The 18530-nt window shown below is 37.1% G+C and overlaps 1 protein-coding gene across 53 annotated transcripts in view; it reads left to right on the top strand.

Annotated features, from left to right (window-relative positions):
- The window catches only part of DLG2 (discs large MAGUK scaffold protein 2), a 2173362-nt gene that overhangs the window by 1518682 nt on the left and 636150 nt on the right, over nt 1-18530 (top strand). For all 53 annotated transcript variants that reach the window (NR_165353.1, NM_001351274.2, XM_017017256.3 and 50 more), the window contains one exon: nt 10645-10769. Coding sequence is in view for 52 of the 53 variants with exons in the window: in NM_001351274.2 (NP_001338203.1) it covers nt 10645-10769 (125 nt within the window). In the remaining variant the exon portion in view is untranslated. The remainder of the gene's footprint in view (nt 1-10644; nt 10770-18530) is intronic.

The raw sequence follows: 18530 nt of genomic DNA, 5'->3' as shown, positions 1-18530 counted from the left end.
TACACTGGAAAAATGATCAACAAATTAAGAAACTATGTTGGGAGCTAATGAGAAGTACATATTTGCTGCCAGTAGCATTTTGGATACATACTGTTACAGGACAGAAGACTGATGTTACTTAGAAATTTTGTAGTTGGAGTATCACTGACAACATCTTAAATCAGATCTTAAGAATTAACAGCTTAAATATTATATTTGATCCCATATTGCTCTCCTTGCTTTCTGACTCAATCCACCCAGCCTATTCTAAATTCAGCATTCTAAACACACAATGCCCTTGAATTAATCATGGTAAAGCATCACATTTGTCATATCGCTCCTTACTCAGATAACCTAGTTTCTCCAGGAAAGCCCATAATCCTAGGTCTGTCACTCAGAAAACTTTCTCATATACCCTTACAGTTGTGGGGACCAAAGTAGATAACTTTGCTTAGAACTTTTTCCTGATATTCCTGCAATAACCCACCCTATTTTCTGGCCAGCATCTTGACTTCCTTAAGTAGGCAATTGTAAGGTCTAACACAGTATCTGATATATAGCAAGCACTAAATGAGTGTTACCTATTATTTTTTTTTTGACGATGTAAGTATTTTTTTTCTTTCTCTCCATTAACACCAACATATTTCTCAAACTGAAAAAGGCCCAAGCCTAAGTCTTGATTTACATCTCCCAAACTGCTTTCCTCATCCTCACCACAGTCTTCTTATCTCATACACAGCATCCCTGTCCAGCTATGTGTCACGTCATCTTTGATTCTTCTCTTTTCCACCTTTCACGTTCCAGCCATCAGTAAGTCCAGTCATTTCTACCTTCAAATTATGCCTCAAATATTGCCATCCCCATTGCTATCAGCCTAGTTCAGATGCCATCAATTTCTGACCTGGACTACAGCAACTTGCCTCTCTGTTCTCCCCTTCAGCACTCTCCAATAAGTTTGTACACAATAAAAAGTATAATCTTAAACTAGATCAGATAATGTAATTCCCCTGTTTTAAGCCTTTTATGACCCAAAAACTTACTGTCCCCAGTGTCTGACCCCCTGCTACCTTCTCTTGCCTCAGCTCTTCCTTCCCTTTCTTACCACTGCATAGCTATTCTGGTCTCAATTTAGTTTCTTGAACAAGTCAAGCTCTCTCTTTTCCTTAGGCCTTAGCACATCTTGTTCCTCTGCCAAGAATACTTAACTGCCACACTACCTCACATCATACTCCTCTTCTCATCTTTTCACTGTTCTCTCCTTCTACCCTAGGTCTTTCTTCAGTTTCAATGAAAAATGTTAGCCATTTTTTCTGTCTTTACCATCTTTTTGTTTTTTAAATCTCCTTCTGTCTTACTGGGAAACTTCAGTGTCAGCTACAAAGTACCCTGACTTGATCATCACCTCAATACACTCTTATAACTTGACCTTTACTATACTCACATGACTAACACTGAGTGCTGCTTTATCTCCAAAATATTGAACCCTGAAATCTGCCAATATCCACAGCCTGTTGCTCCCTCTTCCTTCCCCTGCTCCCCATAAATCTATGTTTTCACCTTATCGTATCTCCATCTTTTCACCCTCTTCTGTTCTTCCAGTCTGAGTATCTTCCCTTACGTCTCATATTTTCCTATCTTTTCTAACATGTTACTCATCACTTACAAAGTAAACCATATCTTTTTCCCCAAGCCTCACCCCTAAAGCAACCAAATCATCCCTTTCACTGTTCAAGATTACTAAGCTCTGTGGGAGAAAATCCCATAACACGTTGATGGCATCCCACCATGGTGCTGCTTAGCAGGCTCCAGCTGATCCCTAAGTGTCTCTCTCTTGCCTCAAAGCTGCAGTTCCAATCACTTACAGCTTTACTTAAGTTTTCAACTTCATTCTAGACCTTTCCCTCTGATGTCCTGACTTCTAAATATATGGAGTAAAGACATCTAATCAGTTAAGACTTCCTTCAGCCTCCTTCTCCTCTACCTTAAAATGACCTTTAATTTCTTCCACCTTAAAATAATACTATAACTTACCGTAGGAACTCAGTTACTCTTATCTCAGAGGGCGAAGTATTCCTCCCCCTACCCATGGCTGAGTTATGCTGTGTCAAAAGCGAACTTATTTTTTCTAATGTTACACATGTTGTACAAGTATAATGTGTGTGTATGTGCATGTGTATACATGCATATGCGCTCATTGCAAGATATATTTATAAGGAAAATTAAAGATGGAGTGCTCAAAATGACAAAAGAAAAAGATCTACAAAGCACTATTAATAAATTAATCAGCATAATTACAAACTTTTATAATGCATGCATATTGTAAAGTGAGGTCAAAGTTTAAATCCTAAATTGTCTCCTACTTTATCTACAACTATTTTGTAAAGATCTTTTCATGTCAGCACATAAACTTATACAATACTGTTGTATTGTGGCTATACTACATGAAATTAAGTAGTACCTATGGTGGGACTCAAAGAGTCTGAACTCTGGGCCCCATTCTCACTCCTCCTTCAAGATTATGTTTTTTTGTGTGCTCTCTTCTCTCCTGTACCTTCAATCTCCCTTTCCCAGGGGCTTCTTTCCTTTAGACTAAAGAGATGCTTGAGTCCCCTCCCTGCCATCCTCCAAAATCTTTCCTCTGCTTTTTCTCCTTCTCTTTCGATACTGCCACATATCTCCCCTAAGGCTAAAACTCTCTCACACACACACACACACACACACACACACACACACCCTAAGGCTAAAACTCTCTCTCTCTTTCTCTCTCTCACACACACACTCACACACACACACTTCTCTCACACACACACCCCCTAAAGCTAAAACTCTCTCTCTCTCTCTCTCACACATACACACACACACTCACTCAAACACACACACACACACACACACACACACAGATAATAATCTACTTTCACTGTGTTTACTTTTCTTTGCTTCTCAGGAGTTCTTTGGTCTACAATAATCTGGCATTCTCTCTTGGCCTATTTATTAAACTGCTTCCTCTCTACCATCCCCCATCTTGTTAAAGCATTTTTATGTAAACATTTACCAATCCCCAAATGAAGTATTCTCCTGATGGCTTTTCTACCCAGCAGCTTCCAGAAAAATACAATTTAATAGAACAAACTATGGGGCATCCTAAATGCAATTCCTGTAGATTGTATAATTGTGAAAAGGGCATTTCTTATTCCTGGACTAAGCACTTTGTTCCAGGACACATACATTATTAGATAGCATTTAAAAACTAAATAAAAAATTTGAGGAAAAAAATCTCTATTTAGCAATGGTAGTTAGAAATGTCTGCATTATTTTCTCACCTTCACATCCTAGTAATAGACCTGGGGCTGTTCATCTTTAGATATCGTAACATGAGACAGAAAGTGGATGTGAGAAAGACTTTAAATAATTTTAACAAGTAATGTGTATGAAAAGACACCTTTTTATTCCCTGTGCCACTCCAGATTTACTTTTCAAAGTAAAATGACTTCCAGGACAATTTGGAAGATTATTTGCCAACCAACAGACCTTTCTATCAAGGGACATTTCTTCTTCTGGCATGTAGCCTAAATGGTTCTTTATTTTAACTTCTTATTACCTGTTTTAATCTTTTTTGATATCTTTATTCTACCTACTTATATTGTTCGCTGTCCTATTATCTTCATGGCCAATGTTCAAGTGGTAGCCTAGTAATTTTCGATCAGGGTGCATATGAGAAATTTACAGATTAGGGGCTGAGGTATGTTATATTTGAAAACAACATATAGTTTTGTAGTATAAACTATATTAAATTAAAATAAACAAATGGCTTTGCTGGAACAAATATACAGAAGGTAAACTTGAATATCGATGATGGTTGGCAAGTAGCAAAAGGAACAGATAGGTGTTCCTGGGTTAAGGGAAGCATATAGGAATCTTGGGGTTAGTGAGAGGAATATACCATTTCAATATTTATCAAATAGAACATGGGTATTAAAATGTTAAAAGAACATTATTTGAGTCTTTTTTTATCTAGCTGTTTTTTATCTAAGGTTTCAATACTATAACCTAATCTTTACCCCAAATTTAGTACTTCTAGCTAAGTTTTGTTTTAACAAAGAAAAGTAACATATATTATCAGTGTAGGTTAAAATGCATTAATCCATACTTGTTGGATCAATAAATAAGGCATGAATTAAAGAATACATTGTTTGACATCTGTTCTCCCTTACTGTCCTCAAACTCGTAAGGACCCTTTAAACAGTGCTATGCATCAAACCAAAGGAATTGAACTAACATTGCTTGATCATCACCCATGTGCTGTGCTTAGCACTTGCTGGTGCCTGTGTCATTTGAATTCATCTCATTATCTCCATTTGACAGATGATGAAACTAGACTCAAAGTCTAGTTTCAAAATGTATCCAATACCATGCAGATGTCAATGGCAGAGCCAGTGTGCAAACCCAGGTTAAAACGACCCAGATCTATGTTTTTCCACTAAACCGTATCACTTTATTAGAAATGTTTTGAAATATTTTCATGATACTGATAGAAGTTTAAATCTTTTCCAAAAATCCAATGAAGCGGTTCCTTATAACTAAAATTTGTATTACTTCCCTACCATTGCATTAGTTTTTGAATTCAGAAGAGACAATGTGATATAATGGAAAGAAAATAGTAATTGAAGTCTGAGAATTACTTTTAAATCTGAATTCACTATTTACTTGCTTCACGTCTTTAAGTAAGTTACTTCACTCCTCTCAGCCTCAGTTTTTGTTTGTTTGCTTGTTGTTTGTTTTTCATTCTAATATATAAAAAGAGAATAATACAATCTACCACATAGGAAATTGTAAGAAACATAGATTAGTGTTTAGCATAGAATAAGCATGCAATAAATGTTAGTTCCCTTAATAATGCTTTTAGTATTTTACTAGGGGCTTTATAATTTTTTAAAATCTCCTTCTTATGTAGTTTAAATTATTTAAGCAATTTTACTATTATTAATTAAAGTTAGTAATTTTCTTGTTAAAATTAAGTCATTTTAAATGTCTTCAGTGGCAATCATACTGTAATTAAAATGTCACTTTTTTCTCATATTTATATAATCAACATTTTCCGTTTTTATTAACAGCACTAAAATTTTATTTTTAATTTATAACTTTTAGATTCTGGGGGTTCATGTGCACATTTATTAAAAAGTTATATCATGTGGTGCTGAGGTTTGGAATACAATTGAACCTATCACCTAACAAGTGAGCATAGTACCAGATAGGTAGTTTTTTAACCTTTTTCCCTTTCCTTCCTTCTTCCCTCTTATATTTCCCAGTATCTATTGTCCCCATCTTTATGTTCATGTGTACCCGATGTTTAGCTCCCATTTATAAGTGAGAATATGCAGTGTTTGGTTTTCTGTTTCTGCATTACTTAGTTTAATGGCCTCCAGCTGCATCCATATTGCTGCAAAGGATATGATTTTATTCTTTTTTTATGGCTGTGTAGTATTCCATGGTATATATGTACCACATTTTCTTTCAGTCCACCATTGATGGTCACCTGGGTTAATTCCATGTCTTTATTATTGAAAAGCACTACAATTTTAATGACTCCAAACTATCCCCACATTCAGATAAATGTACCACAATATTTTAACCATTTCTCCATGATATGGATGTCAGTTTTCAGTTGTGTTTTTTTAACACTAGAAAAATAATGCAACAAACCTTGAACACAAATCTTTTCATGTTTCTCTGATTATTTCTTTAGGATAAAATCCTAGAATCGAATGATCAGGTCAAACAGTATTTTAAAGTAGAAAAATTCTAAAAATCAAAAAAAAATCATTGTCGGTACAACATTATATATAAATGAATGTGATTATAATATTACTACTTATTTTCCTCTTTTTTATTATATATAACCCCATTTTGAGAGAAATTTTCATTTGGGAAATAAACTTTTAATAAAAGTGGGGCTTTCCCAGAGACATTATATTTATATTTGTGAAATGTCTTTCCTTTTGGTGGATTCTCTCTCTGAGAGGAGATGGTGTGCAGTACATGAAACAAGAAGTGTCATTTGGCTAGAAAATGGGTTTGTGCTCGTGGGGAAGAGTCAGCAAATATGAACAATTAAGAGAAAGAATGGTCCATGTCAGTGACATTCATCTGTCATGGAATCTTCCCAACTGCAAGGACACAGCAGCCCACCCAGAATCCTTTACAGGGTCTGCCCTTACCAGCATGGCACCTTGAAGTTTCCATTGACTGCATCAGGGATCAACACTCGGTTAATTAGTCACAATTTTCAGGATCTAAGAGTGTCAACCAGGGGTCTGCCTGTTCACATGGAGAGATTGCTGCTCAGAGAAGAGAGGAGCTGAGATCTGTCCCTGCAGCTGGCAGGCTCTGGGACAATTGTCAGGGGATTGAAGTGATTCAGCCATAGAGAGCAGCAGGCAGCAATTTCAATGACACTTTTGCATCTGTCCCTCTCTCTGCTAAATGCTGCTGGCTGGTAGCAAAGACTTAAAAGGGAAGGCTGGAAGAGAACAATAAAGGGAGGTGAAAGCTCTTTAAATCATTTCCTTAGCTGAATTCAGATGAATCTCTTGTAAAGAACCATGATGACTGGCCAGACCCAGCTGGTAGACTAGTTTTAATTGAAACACAAAAGCTTTCAGGGATGCTTTGGGACCAGAAACACAGGGCAAGTTACATTCTGTCTCTACCTACCTAGTTTCCACTGTAAATTTCCTAAATATATTCATTCTTTTCCTCAGAGTGGGTCTGGGGACAGGGGAATGTATATTAGAAAATGCCAGAGCCACAGTTTTCTCCATATTGTAGTCAATTCAAAAGAAAAACAGTGGTTAAATGTTTCTAGGTTGTTATCAAAGCTATTATTTCAAAGACATATTGATTCACAGACTAAGTTCCAAGAATTTGACAGTGATCTACTTCCCCCACTAAATGTCCCTAAAACATCCCCTTTTCTCTGTTGGCAAGAGCAGACTTCCTATATCTAGCCAGAGTCCCAAAAGAATCCTTTAAAATCATCCAGTTTAACCTTTCAATAAATGCCTGGGTCCTTCACGCCCAGTGACTAGCCAAATACCTCCTGAGTGAAGGATCCTCTATCCCTTACAGAGTAGTGCATCTCCAATCTGAACAGTTGTGTCTTATTAGTCAGCCTTTAGCTGCACCACAGTTTGAATGCCTGAGCTTTCTACTTTTTTATTCTTGTAATGACACAGAGCAAAATGGCTTCTACTTCCATATTGTATTCCTTAACACATTGTGGATTTCTATTGTGGCCTTTTTGAGTCTTCCTGTTAGGGCACAAACATTCTCAGTAGGCTTGTTTTTCTGTTACTTCATTCATCAAGTATTTATTGTCAATACTATGTGCTAGACAAGGCTCCAAAAAAACAAAGATGAATACTACACAGTTCCTGCCTTCTACAAGCCCAGTTTAAAGGAAAGACAGACTCAGAAACAGACAACTACAAAATAACACAATGCATAATGTAAGTAAGCATAAAAACCTGCAAAAACACAGAAATGTGATCTATCTAGAGAAGGGTTGGGTGATAATTTAGTATTAATTTGAGCAGACACCGTCTGAGCCACATCTTCAAAAATGCGAAGAATTGAAATAGTCAAGAAGGCGATGTGAAGTTTCTGGTAGAGAAAACAGCATAAATAAACACCAATAGATGAATTATAGTGAGGTCTGTGCAGTAAAGAGCCTGCAGTTCACTTCATTGTTCCTGGGGGGTAAAGTGTGAAGCTGGAAATAAAGTTGACAAGGTTAAGAGTTAGATCACGAATATCTTTCTCACAGGACAAAGTTTTGAGTACCCTCTCCAAACATGTTGACAGTATCAGGAGAAAGCATTTGGGTATCTCCCAATCTCTGCTTGCCTCCTTCCCTACTCTCATTAATCAAGACATTATTATCCCTGAGATGCTAACTACAGTGAGACCAATATACTCTAGTTGATGTACTTAGAGCTTGACCCAAATTACATTGAAAATACTCATCCTCCCATTTTTTCTTCCCAAACCTCTGGATCTTAGAGAACTGCCTCATTAAGTCCCCTAAACACTATCTCCATGGCTACATACTTGACAATGCAGTTGAGGTTATACAGTACGTGAAATATACTGATCACTAGATGCCAGAGTATTATTGCTTTTTTTTGCTATGCTTTGAATATCCATGAAGGCAGAAACCATCTGGCCTTAACCTCTGCAGTCTTAGTTTAGAGTCAGTTGCATACGAAATGCTCAACCAATACTAACACAGTCATTTGGTGTCAGTAAGTATTTAAAATCCAAAATGGTTTCTCGTACACTCTGCTCTTGTCAATTTCATGATTAAGGTACATCTATCCAATTCTTCTTGCTTTCTTTGTTCCAACTTTATTGTCTGTTCCTTGGGTGTGGCATACCCTTTCTCACCTAAGGGCTTTTACACAAGTTCTTCCCTCTATGTCAAAATGTTCTTCTCTATGTCACCAGGTCACTGTGTTTGGTTCTCCTACCCACTCCTACACTCTGCATTTCCCCTTCATGTGCCTTATAAACTGACATACTTACTCCTGTAGCTCCAGGGCTTAGTCTAGTGCCAGGTACAGAGGTGGTGTTTAATAAATATTAAATAAATTCATGATTATATGAGTGCTAATAAGTAATAACTCTGTTCAGTGAACACTGGACTTTTTCAAAGAGCAAACAGAATTAGAGAAAACATCAGAAGTATAAACACATGAGATTTTAGTTGCCATAGCTGAATTATTCATTTCACCCTTTCAACATATGTAATAAATATACAATTGTAAAAACAACCCTCTGGAAATCAGTTTTATAAATTTAGTCAATAAGAATTGCTAAACATTACCTTGACATTTGCAGTGGTATAGGTGTCAAGTTATAGCTGATCTTATCTTGACATTGAACCTTTCTGACTAATCAAGCACCCTAATTACTTTTTCTGAAATAACTACTGAATTCATAGTCCTCATCTCTTTTTACCCAAGAGTGGAAATTAATCAAATGATCATAAATTTAGTAAGCTATATTTTTTGTAAGAATATGTAGAGAAATTTAATATCCAGTGACAAGGGACTGGTTAAATAAGTAATATGTGACCTTGATGAAACATGACTAGCCATTTAAGACGAATATTTATAAAGACTGCCTAGCTATACAGAAAGGGCATAAAATATAATGTGATTTGGAAAAAATTACAACACAACCATGAAAACATATGTAGCTGTGGAGATGGGAGATGGGGAGTAAAGGAGACTATAGAAATAAGAAATAAACAATATGGTTTGTGGATTTGGGGGGACTTTTAATTATGCCTTACATACAAATTTTAGAAAGATATATATATCCTTTAGAGAGAGAGATATATATATCCTTTATATATATATCTCTTTAGATATATATATCCTTTATATATATATATATCGCTTTAGATATATATATCTCTTTAGATATATATATATCTCTTTAGATATATATATCTCTTTAGATATATATATATCGCTTTAGATATATATATCTCTTTAGATATATATATATCGCTTTAGATATATATATCTCTTTAGATATATATATATCGCTTTAGATATATATATCTCTTTAGATATATATATATCGCTTTAGATATATATATCTCTTTAGATATATATATATCGCTTTAGATATATATATCTCTTTAGATATATATATATCGCTTTAGATATATATATCTCTTTAGATATATATATATCGCTTTAGATATATATATCTCTTTAGATATATATATATCGCTTTAGATATATATATCTCTTTAGATATATATATATCGCTTTAGATATATATATCTCTTTAGATATATATATATCGCTTTAGATATATATATCTCTTTAGATATATATATCCTTATATATATATCTTTAGAAAGCGATGTATGTATATATATGTATATATGTATATATATATACACACCCACAGGATATCAGTTACTATAATCTACAGGAGTAAGTGTAAAGGCTTTATTAGAATAGAAGCTACTCAGATTTCCATGCTGCTGCACTATTGCATGCCTTTTCTATTGCTATTGCAAATTAAAGCCTGTTTATTGTTCAAAAGTATCTCTCATGTATTATGATTCTAGAAGGGGGCCTTGTCTTCTGAAGTGGAAGTTTTCTTTACTTAGAAACACATTATTTGACAGATAAGTGATATTAGAACAACAATACCAGAAATAAGAAAATGAAACACCCAAGTTCACTCTTCTATTAAATCAAATTCTTTCATGTAACTTTTTTCTTCCTCTTTCATATAAATGTATAATTTTTACAGTTGACACTCTAATGATTCTTTATATTTTTTCATATTACACAATTTGTAAGTTTTTATTTCCTGCTTCATAAATGTGATTTTAATTGCTGCATAAAGGAAGCAATTTTTAAAAGAAAAATATAATGCTCTTGCATTCTTACAGTGCAGGAATAAACCTCAGTGTTTTTCCTGACCTTCCTTTGTCTGCTAACTGTGCACTTTATGATTTAGCATACAAGACTGTTGTCACCTGATTTCCATTTGAGTAGTAACATGATAATGCAGAGTGCAAGAGGAACTAGGTTTTAGGTGACAGACACATCATTTAATATCTGCTTTTTGTTTCTATAGGGGAATTCTGGCCTGGGATTCAGTATTGCTGGGGGGACAGATAATCCCCACATTGGAGATGACCCTGGCATATTTATTACGAAGATTATACCAGGAGGTGCTGCAGCAGAGGATGGCAGACTCAGGTAAAGATCTGAAACATTAGAATGATTTTGAAAGTAAATCTGCTGCATCAATGAGACACATTTGTACCTTTGAAGAATAATAATTCTACAAAAGTTCTGTACTTGAAAGAGATTTTTAAGGCAAGCTTCCTGAAATGACTTTGCAGATCTTTTGCTACTGATTGAATTTCAGTAGTGTTTGATTTGTGTTCGTTGGTAGGTACCACATTGAACATTGGGCCAGGCACTGTGAGGAGGGGATGAAGATAAATCTTTTGTTTGGATGAGGCCTTCAGTCTAGTTGGAAAGAACATAAATATGAACTAACGGGCAAATAATATAATTATCAAAAGGATACACTATAAGTAGCATTAGCAAGTAAAGCAACGTTGTAGATATTGTATGTATTCTCATATTCGGCAACCATTTATAGGGCTTTCTCTAGGCGTTTAGAGAGGGAAAAAGAGTCTAAAAAAACCATTCCCTGGGAAGGTTTCCTCTGAGTCCACTAACCCTACAAATCTAAGTGGGAACACAGAGAAAAGAACAAGTTGTCCCTCAGAAAAAAAGGGAAAGCAGCTTCATCTGGATGAAGAGCACAGGATGGCCTGGCTCAGTGGCTCACGCCTATAATCCCAGCACTTTGAGAGGCCAAGGCAGATGGATCACTTGAGGTCAGGAGTTTGAGACCAGCCTGGCCAGCATAGCCAAACCCCATCTCTATTAAAAATACAAAAAGTAGCTGGGCATGGTGGTGGGTACCTGTAATCCCAGCTACTCTGGAGGCTGAGGCAGGAGAATGGCTTGAACTTGATCCCAGTGAACTGAGATCATGCCACTGCACTCCCGCCTGGGTGACAGAGTGAGTCCATGTCTCAAAAAGCAAAAAAGAAAAAAAAAAAAAAAAAGGCACATGGTGAGTTTAGGTTGGTGGAGGGAGTGCAGCCAGGTACTTCTCAGTGATAGAGAGTAGTAGCTGCTTGAGCTGGGCTACTTTCTTTAAGGAACTTAATTGTGGGAAATAAGAGTTACCCTCATGGGGTAAATAACATAAAATGCTATGGGATCAAAACCTTAGCTAAAAGGCACTATAGGTTGGAAAAATTAGGAGAGATTTTTCAGGAAGAATAACATGCCCTAATGTCACTTTTAGCACCCCTGCTAGGTTGTAAATCCCCTCAGGCCAAGCAGTTACATATGTATAACTGGCTCAATAAACTCTTGCTGAAGAAATGAATTTTTGAGTAAGTAAATAAATAAAGTGGAGAAGAGGGAGAAGTGAAAATTATTGTGGGAGGTAAGATAGGAAGGATATGTGAAATACAAAATATTTATGACACTTGTTAATGACTGTAAGGAAGAGTTTATTCAAGAGGGTTCACTGCAATGGAGATTTTGCAGTGGAGGAGAGTTATTGGTCTTAACTCTGAATACAGAAAGCATAAGTGAAGATGTATAGCCAAAGAGCTGTGGAGTGGGGGGTGGCAGTTAGTGCATGGAAAATTACTGAGAGAAAACGTCAAGGGTAAGGGGAATTCTGGCTGAAGGGACTTGGCAGGATTCTTGTTGAAGGCAGGCCAAGCTGATAAATTATCAAGGGTATGGGATAAGGAATTTGATCGGATACCAAGGGAGAGAAATTTTTCATAAACTGACTCAGCAGGATTCTTGGTAAAACTGGGCTAACGAGGCCAAATAAAAAGCCTAAGGTCAAAGCCTAATTGAGAATAGGACCCAGAGAAGCCTGATTCAAATTTAATCAAGGACGGAGTCTTATTAAATAAAGCAAGTGAAGTCCTGTAGGTAAGAATGACTTTAGCGTGCATGGAGCCACATTGAGGACTGTGACTTAAGGAGCGAAATGTAAGCTTCATAGCACTTCCTCAGTCTGTTTTTTCATTAAGCATATAAGCTACTTTGCTGTTTTTCTTATGAATCAACCAAAGATACTTTTATTCCTTATCCAGTTTTTCTGATGTAGTGATTACTTTTGACAGCTGCATGTTTACAGCTTGATGAAGAGAATCACATTTTTTTTTTTTTCAGGTAAATGTGCATCTTTTTTCAACAAAAAAGATACTCCCACATGAAATAAGCTTTTTGACAACAGAATTTTTAAGCTGAATTAACTAAATTAATTTCTGAATGAGGACATATCCCCACTAGAGTGAAAGGTTTGAAAAAGATGCTGTGTAATTCTATGAGTCATCGTGGGGATTCTGTTTGCTAACACTGGACCCTAAAGAAGCTCTATTTTTAAAGTTTAGAAATAGATTTGTTAGAGGATAATTTAGAAATTATCTCTAAATTATCATTATGGCGGGCCATAATCATAATTTTTCACCACTCTGTTTAGCTACAAGATGGGGAGAACCTCCACCCTTTAACCAAATTCTGGCTCTAAGCTTGAAATAGATTTTATGTTATATGTTTATATATGTTTGCTCTACAATTAAGAATGAAAAGTGATATCTCTGAGAATGCCAGCATTCTTTGCCTGCAAACATGGTGGCAGCCCCATGCCTACAGAGGTAAAGCAAAGTTCTGCTGTGCTAGAAACTTCATTCATTCGTAGTTGAAAAGATAATATTGATAATGAAAGCTAACATTTCTTGACATTTTATCATGTGCAGGACATTGTGCTAAGATACAGAGATGTCAGATGTAGACACACACACACACACACACAATCTTCTACTTCAGTAGCCATATAAGTAGGTACTATTATTGTGGCCATAATAATAAGGATTCAGAAAATTAAGGCTTAATGATTTTAAGATCACCCAGCTAGCTTTGACCACATTAAAAATCCAGTTCTGAATGTCGCTTAGGTATTCTCTAAAATCTCATGTGTTGGTAGAATCCCTACATCATGTGGTCTCTGCCTAAAAACCCCCAAAGGTAAAGCTTTCACAATGTTAAGAGGTAATTCTGAACATAACAGAGTTTGCTGTTTTTCTATTGAGCCACAATTTCCCTTTTTTTGGCCTCTACCCATTGGTCTTTATTTTGGCTTCCTGGAGCCAGGGCCATGGCCTATGACTGTGTATATGAATATTGCCTACTAAGGTTGTACAATAAACAACCTGCAAAACTTTGTACAGTGCTTCTAACTAGAGCAGCAAAATTCACCTTCTCCCCAATCCACATTACAGCCTTTGCCTATGTGAAGACAGCTAATAATTTTCAGTATTTGGCAGGTGGTCTAGTCCAAGACATACATTTTATAGAGTGGGATTCTGCAGCTCAGAGGAGTGACTTATCCTGAGGCATAAATCATTTGGGGATCCTATTTAACTAAAATCCAAATGTCCTGACTCAAATAATTAAGATTATTAGGTAGTGCTAAGAGACAGTAACACCATCGCCTCAACTAAGTCAGACTAAGTCTTTTCTCAGTGTGACAGGAACACTGAGGTTGGACCAACAAGCCATGAGGAGTATGTTTTATCTCACCATTAGTCCTTAAGGACATGGGAGAAGGACATTGTAATTAGCTCTGGAAAGATGTGGGTTCTAACTTCTGTATGTAACACAGTTGACCTTGGACACAAGTTAAACTCACTTAATAGCTATTTTCTCATTTGTAAAGTGGTGACAATAATACCTACTTCACTGAGATGTTCTGAGGTGAGATAACCGAACTCCTTAGCTATGGCAGGCACATAATTGGTGCTCAATAAATTTTACCACCGTTTTCCCCTTTCTCCTTACCTTCCCTCTCTGTCTCTAAGCAGTTTTTCCTCTCCTCTTGCCTCTGTTCCTTTTCTTCTCTATCCCCTTTCCTATTATACCTTCTACATTTCCTTCTGCAGTCTCCTTTCACCCTGTGTGTTCTTCCCTAAGTTTCCTGTCCCTATTTTTCACATACTTTTTTTTCTCTTGGTCATAACATGGAATTAAAGACCATTTTTAAAAAATAGGTATGGTGCAAAAAACGGTTCTGTACTTCTATTCTCAAGTTTATAATGTAAGCCACTGAATCTGCTATGTTTCCTTTGCTTAAAAAAAACCCCTATAAATTAAACACAGTTTTCTTTTATGTAAACAAATCCTTGGTGTTTCCTTTGAGTTAGAGACACTTAAATTTCTTTAAAATGTACCTTTACATTATAAATTGCTATGGCCTTAATATTTGTATCCTCCCAAAATTCATCTGTTGAAAGCTAATCCCCAATGTAATGATATCAGGAGGTGGGGCCTTTGAGAGATGATTAGGTTTTGAAGGTGGAGTACTCCTGCATGTCTCTGTAAAAGAAGCCCTGGCTTATATTAGTGCCCTCATAAAAGCTTCCTTGCCCCTTCCTTTATGTGAGGACATATCTAAAGGCATTATCTATGAACCAGGAAGAGGGCCATCACTAGACATCAAATCTGCCAGTGCCTTGGTTTATAGGCCATTTAGTTTATGATATTTTATTTTATAATAGCCCAACAGACTAAGACATAAATTATATTTTTGACAGTTAAATAACACTAACATTTACAGAGAAACTAAGGTCCACAGAAATAAGGTGATGGGTTTGCTCCAAGGAGAGTAGTAAATCTGAACTCTAAATTAGTGGTTATGTAATAATCAGATCAATAATAATAATCCTAATAATAAAGACCAACACAGTGCTTACAATGTGCCAAGTCATTTTCTGGCACATTAGCTCATTTAAAGTGTTAAATGACTCAATAAAATTCACACTATTATTTATTATCCATTTTTCAGATAAGAAAATTGAGGAACTGGTAGGTTAAGCAACTTCCCTAAGTTTGTACTGCTAGTAAATATTGGAGCCAGAATTTGAATGTAAGCAGTTTGACTCCAGTGTCCATGTTTTTATCTTCTAAGCTATAATGCAGAAAAACAACAACGACGCTTAAAAGACCCACTGTTACCAGCATGGCACATGTATACATATGTAACTAACCTGCACAATGTGCACATGTACCCTAAAACTTAAAGTATAATAAAAATAAAAAATAAAAAATAAAAAAAAAAAGACCCACTGTGGTAAGCATCATTCTAAATGCCACTCACGAATAGGCGCGATGGCTCATGCCTGTAATCCCAGCACTTTGGGAGGCTGAGGCAGGTGGATAACTTGAGATCAAGAGTTCAAAACCAGCCTGGCCAACATGGTAAAACCCCATCTCTACTAAAAATACAAAAATTAGCGGGGTGTTGTGGTGGGCGCCTGTAATCCCAGCTACTCAGGAGGCTGAGGCAGGAGAATGGCTTGAACCAGGGAGGCAGAGGTTGCAGTAAGCTGAGATCGTACCACTGCACTCCAGCCTGGGCAACAGAGCGAGACCCCATCTCAAAATAAATAAAAATAAAAATAAAAATGCCACTCCCCAAGATTCTATACCATAATCCATAGAACCTGTGACTATGATGAGATGTCACTCCTATGATTTTTATATGGTATAATTTACCTTAAAATAGGGAGAATATACATGTGAACCTGGTCTAATTACATGAGCCCTTAAAAGTGGAGACTTTTCTCAGGCTGGTGGCAGAAGTTAAAGATGTGTGATGTACTTGACACGTTGTTGCTGGATTGAAAATGAAGGAGGCCATGTGAGAAAGAATGAGAATGGTCTCTAGGAGCAGACAGAGGCCCCCAGGCTGACAGCCAACAATGAAGCAGGGACCTCAGTCCCACAAACTCAAGGAACTGAATTCTGACACAACCACATGAGCTCGGAAGAAGACCCTGAACCTTGAGATGAGAATGCAGCTCAGCTGACATCTTGATACAGCCTTGTGAGAACTTAAGCAGAGATTCTGGCCTCGCTGTGCTAGACTTATGACATACACCAATAGTGAGCTAATAAATAGAAATAGTTTCAAGTTGGTAAGTGTGTAAGTGTGTGGTAATTTTCTTTCTTTCTTTCTTTCTTTTTTTTTTTTTTTTTGACGGAGACTCACTCTGTCGCCCAGGCTGGAGTGCAGTGGCGCAATCTCGGCTCACTGCCACCTCCGCCTTCTGGGTTCAAGCGATTCTTCTGCCTCAGCCTCTTGAGTAGCTGGGACTGCAGGTGCCCGCCACCACACCCAGCTAATTTTTGTATTTTTAGTAGAATCAGGGTTTCACCATGTTGGCCAGGCTTGTCTCGAACTCCTGACCTTGTGATCCGCCCACCTCAGCCTCCCAAAGTGCTGGGATTACAGGTGTGAGCCACCGTACCCAGCCGGTTTGTGGTAATTTTCTAGGAAACAATTCTAGGAACCCTGGAATCATTATGAAAAACCTTCCTGTGTGTGCGAAATCATAGCCAATATAAAGTGACAGTGCAGACTAAAGGCACAGATAAAGTGAGAAGTGACTTCCTCCCTAAGTAGACCAGACTTCAAATCAAGCTCCAGTCTTAGTTGTTCTTTCTCCTGAAAGAACAACTTCTCATAAAAGAGATATAGGAGAAAGAACACAATATTTGGAGTCAAAGACCAAGGTTTCAGGTACTACTTCCTAGCTATGTGACTTTGGGCCCCTTTTTAAGCTCTATGTTCTTCAGTTTCCTCACTGGTACATTGGAGATAGGAACATATATCTCAAGAAGATATAGTAAGATTACATGAAATAGTGTTTGTAAAGGAGTTATGTAAAAGGCAAGGCCTGCAATACAACTCTGTTATCTATAGAGCCAGCTATTTAGCAGAATGCTGAACCTCAGCCACAAGTCTGTGGCAGCCAGGGATGGACAGTGTGGTAGGCAAAATTCTAAGATGCCCCCTAATAACCTACATCCCTTTCCTTCGAATGTGGACAGGACCTGTGAATATGATCAGATTCAATTCCATGATTATGCTACTTTATATGGCAAAAGGGACTTCACAGATGTAATTAAGTCCCCTAATCATTTGACTTTGATTTAATCAAAATGGAGATTATCCTGATTCAGACTGACCCATGTAATGAGACTTTTAAAAACAGAGAGATTCTCTTACTGGCATGGATGAAGCAAACTTCCATGTTGTTAAAGAACCTATGGGGGGCTGTGTAGTAAGGACCTGAAGGCATCCTTTACGTACTAAGTAAGTCCCCAGGCTACAGCTAGCAAGATAGAAGACATCAGACATACAGTCACAAGGAATTGATTTCTGCAGATTGCTACATGAGCTTATAAGAGAACCCCAAGTTCCCAAAATGAATACAGTCCAGCTGACACATCAGTGCATGCAGCCTCGTGATACCAAAGTAGAGGACTCCTCTGAGTCACGTCTAGATTCCTGACCTGCTGAAATTCTGAGATAATAAGTATATGTTGTCTTAAACTGATTAATTTGTGGTAAATTGTCATGTAACAACAAGAAACTAATATAGACATATAAATTCTGGACCCTAAAATTCCCTTAAACTGGGCTGCAGAGTAGCTTGCTGTTGCAGGTCTCCGGTAATACTGTCACACCCAAAACTTCAGAAACACTGATCAGGCCTCATGATTGGACTTGGGACTTTCTAATACCTAAAGGCAAGAGGCCAAAGCACAATCAATCAAAAGCAAGAGGTGGACCCACGCCAGTAAAAGGGAGGAATCTAGTCCCTCGGGTGGAGGGACAGCAGAGATGGAGACTGAGACCTGTTTTCCCTCTACTGGCTGGAGATGTGAATCTGAGCTGGAGTGAGGGAGACAGCCAGAAACTGCAGGGAAAATGTGAGATGAGGGCTAAGTCAAGAGGCAAGGCAAGAAGAGCACATGGCGGTTTAGATGAATTTCTCTGAACAGTGACCATTTTCTGATAGAACTTCTTTTTAAATAGAACTTTTCGGGTATGTGTGTTTATGG

Source organism: Homo sapiens, chromosome 11 (genome assembly GCF_000001405.40).
Source record: "Homo sapiens chromosome 11, GRCh38.p14 Primary Assembly".
Lineage (NCBI taxonomy): Eukaryota > Metazoa > Chordata > Mammalia > Primates > Hominidae > Homo > Homo sapiens.
Note: the sequence above shows the minus strand (reverse complement) of the source record. Positions and strands in the feature narration are given on the sequence as shown.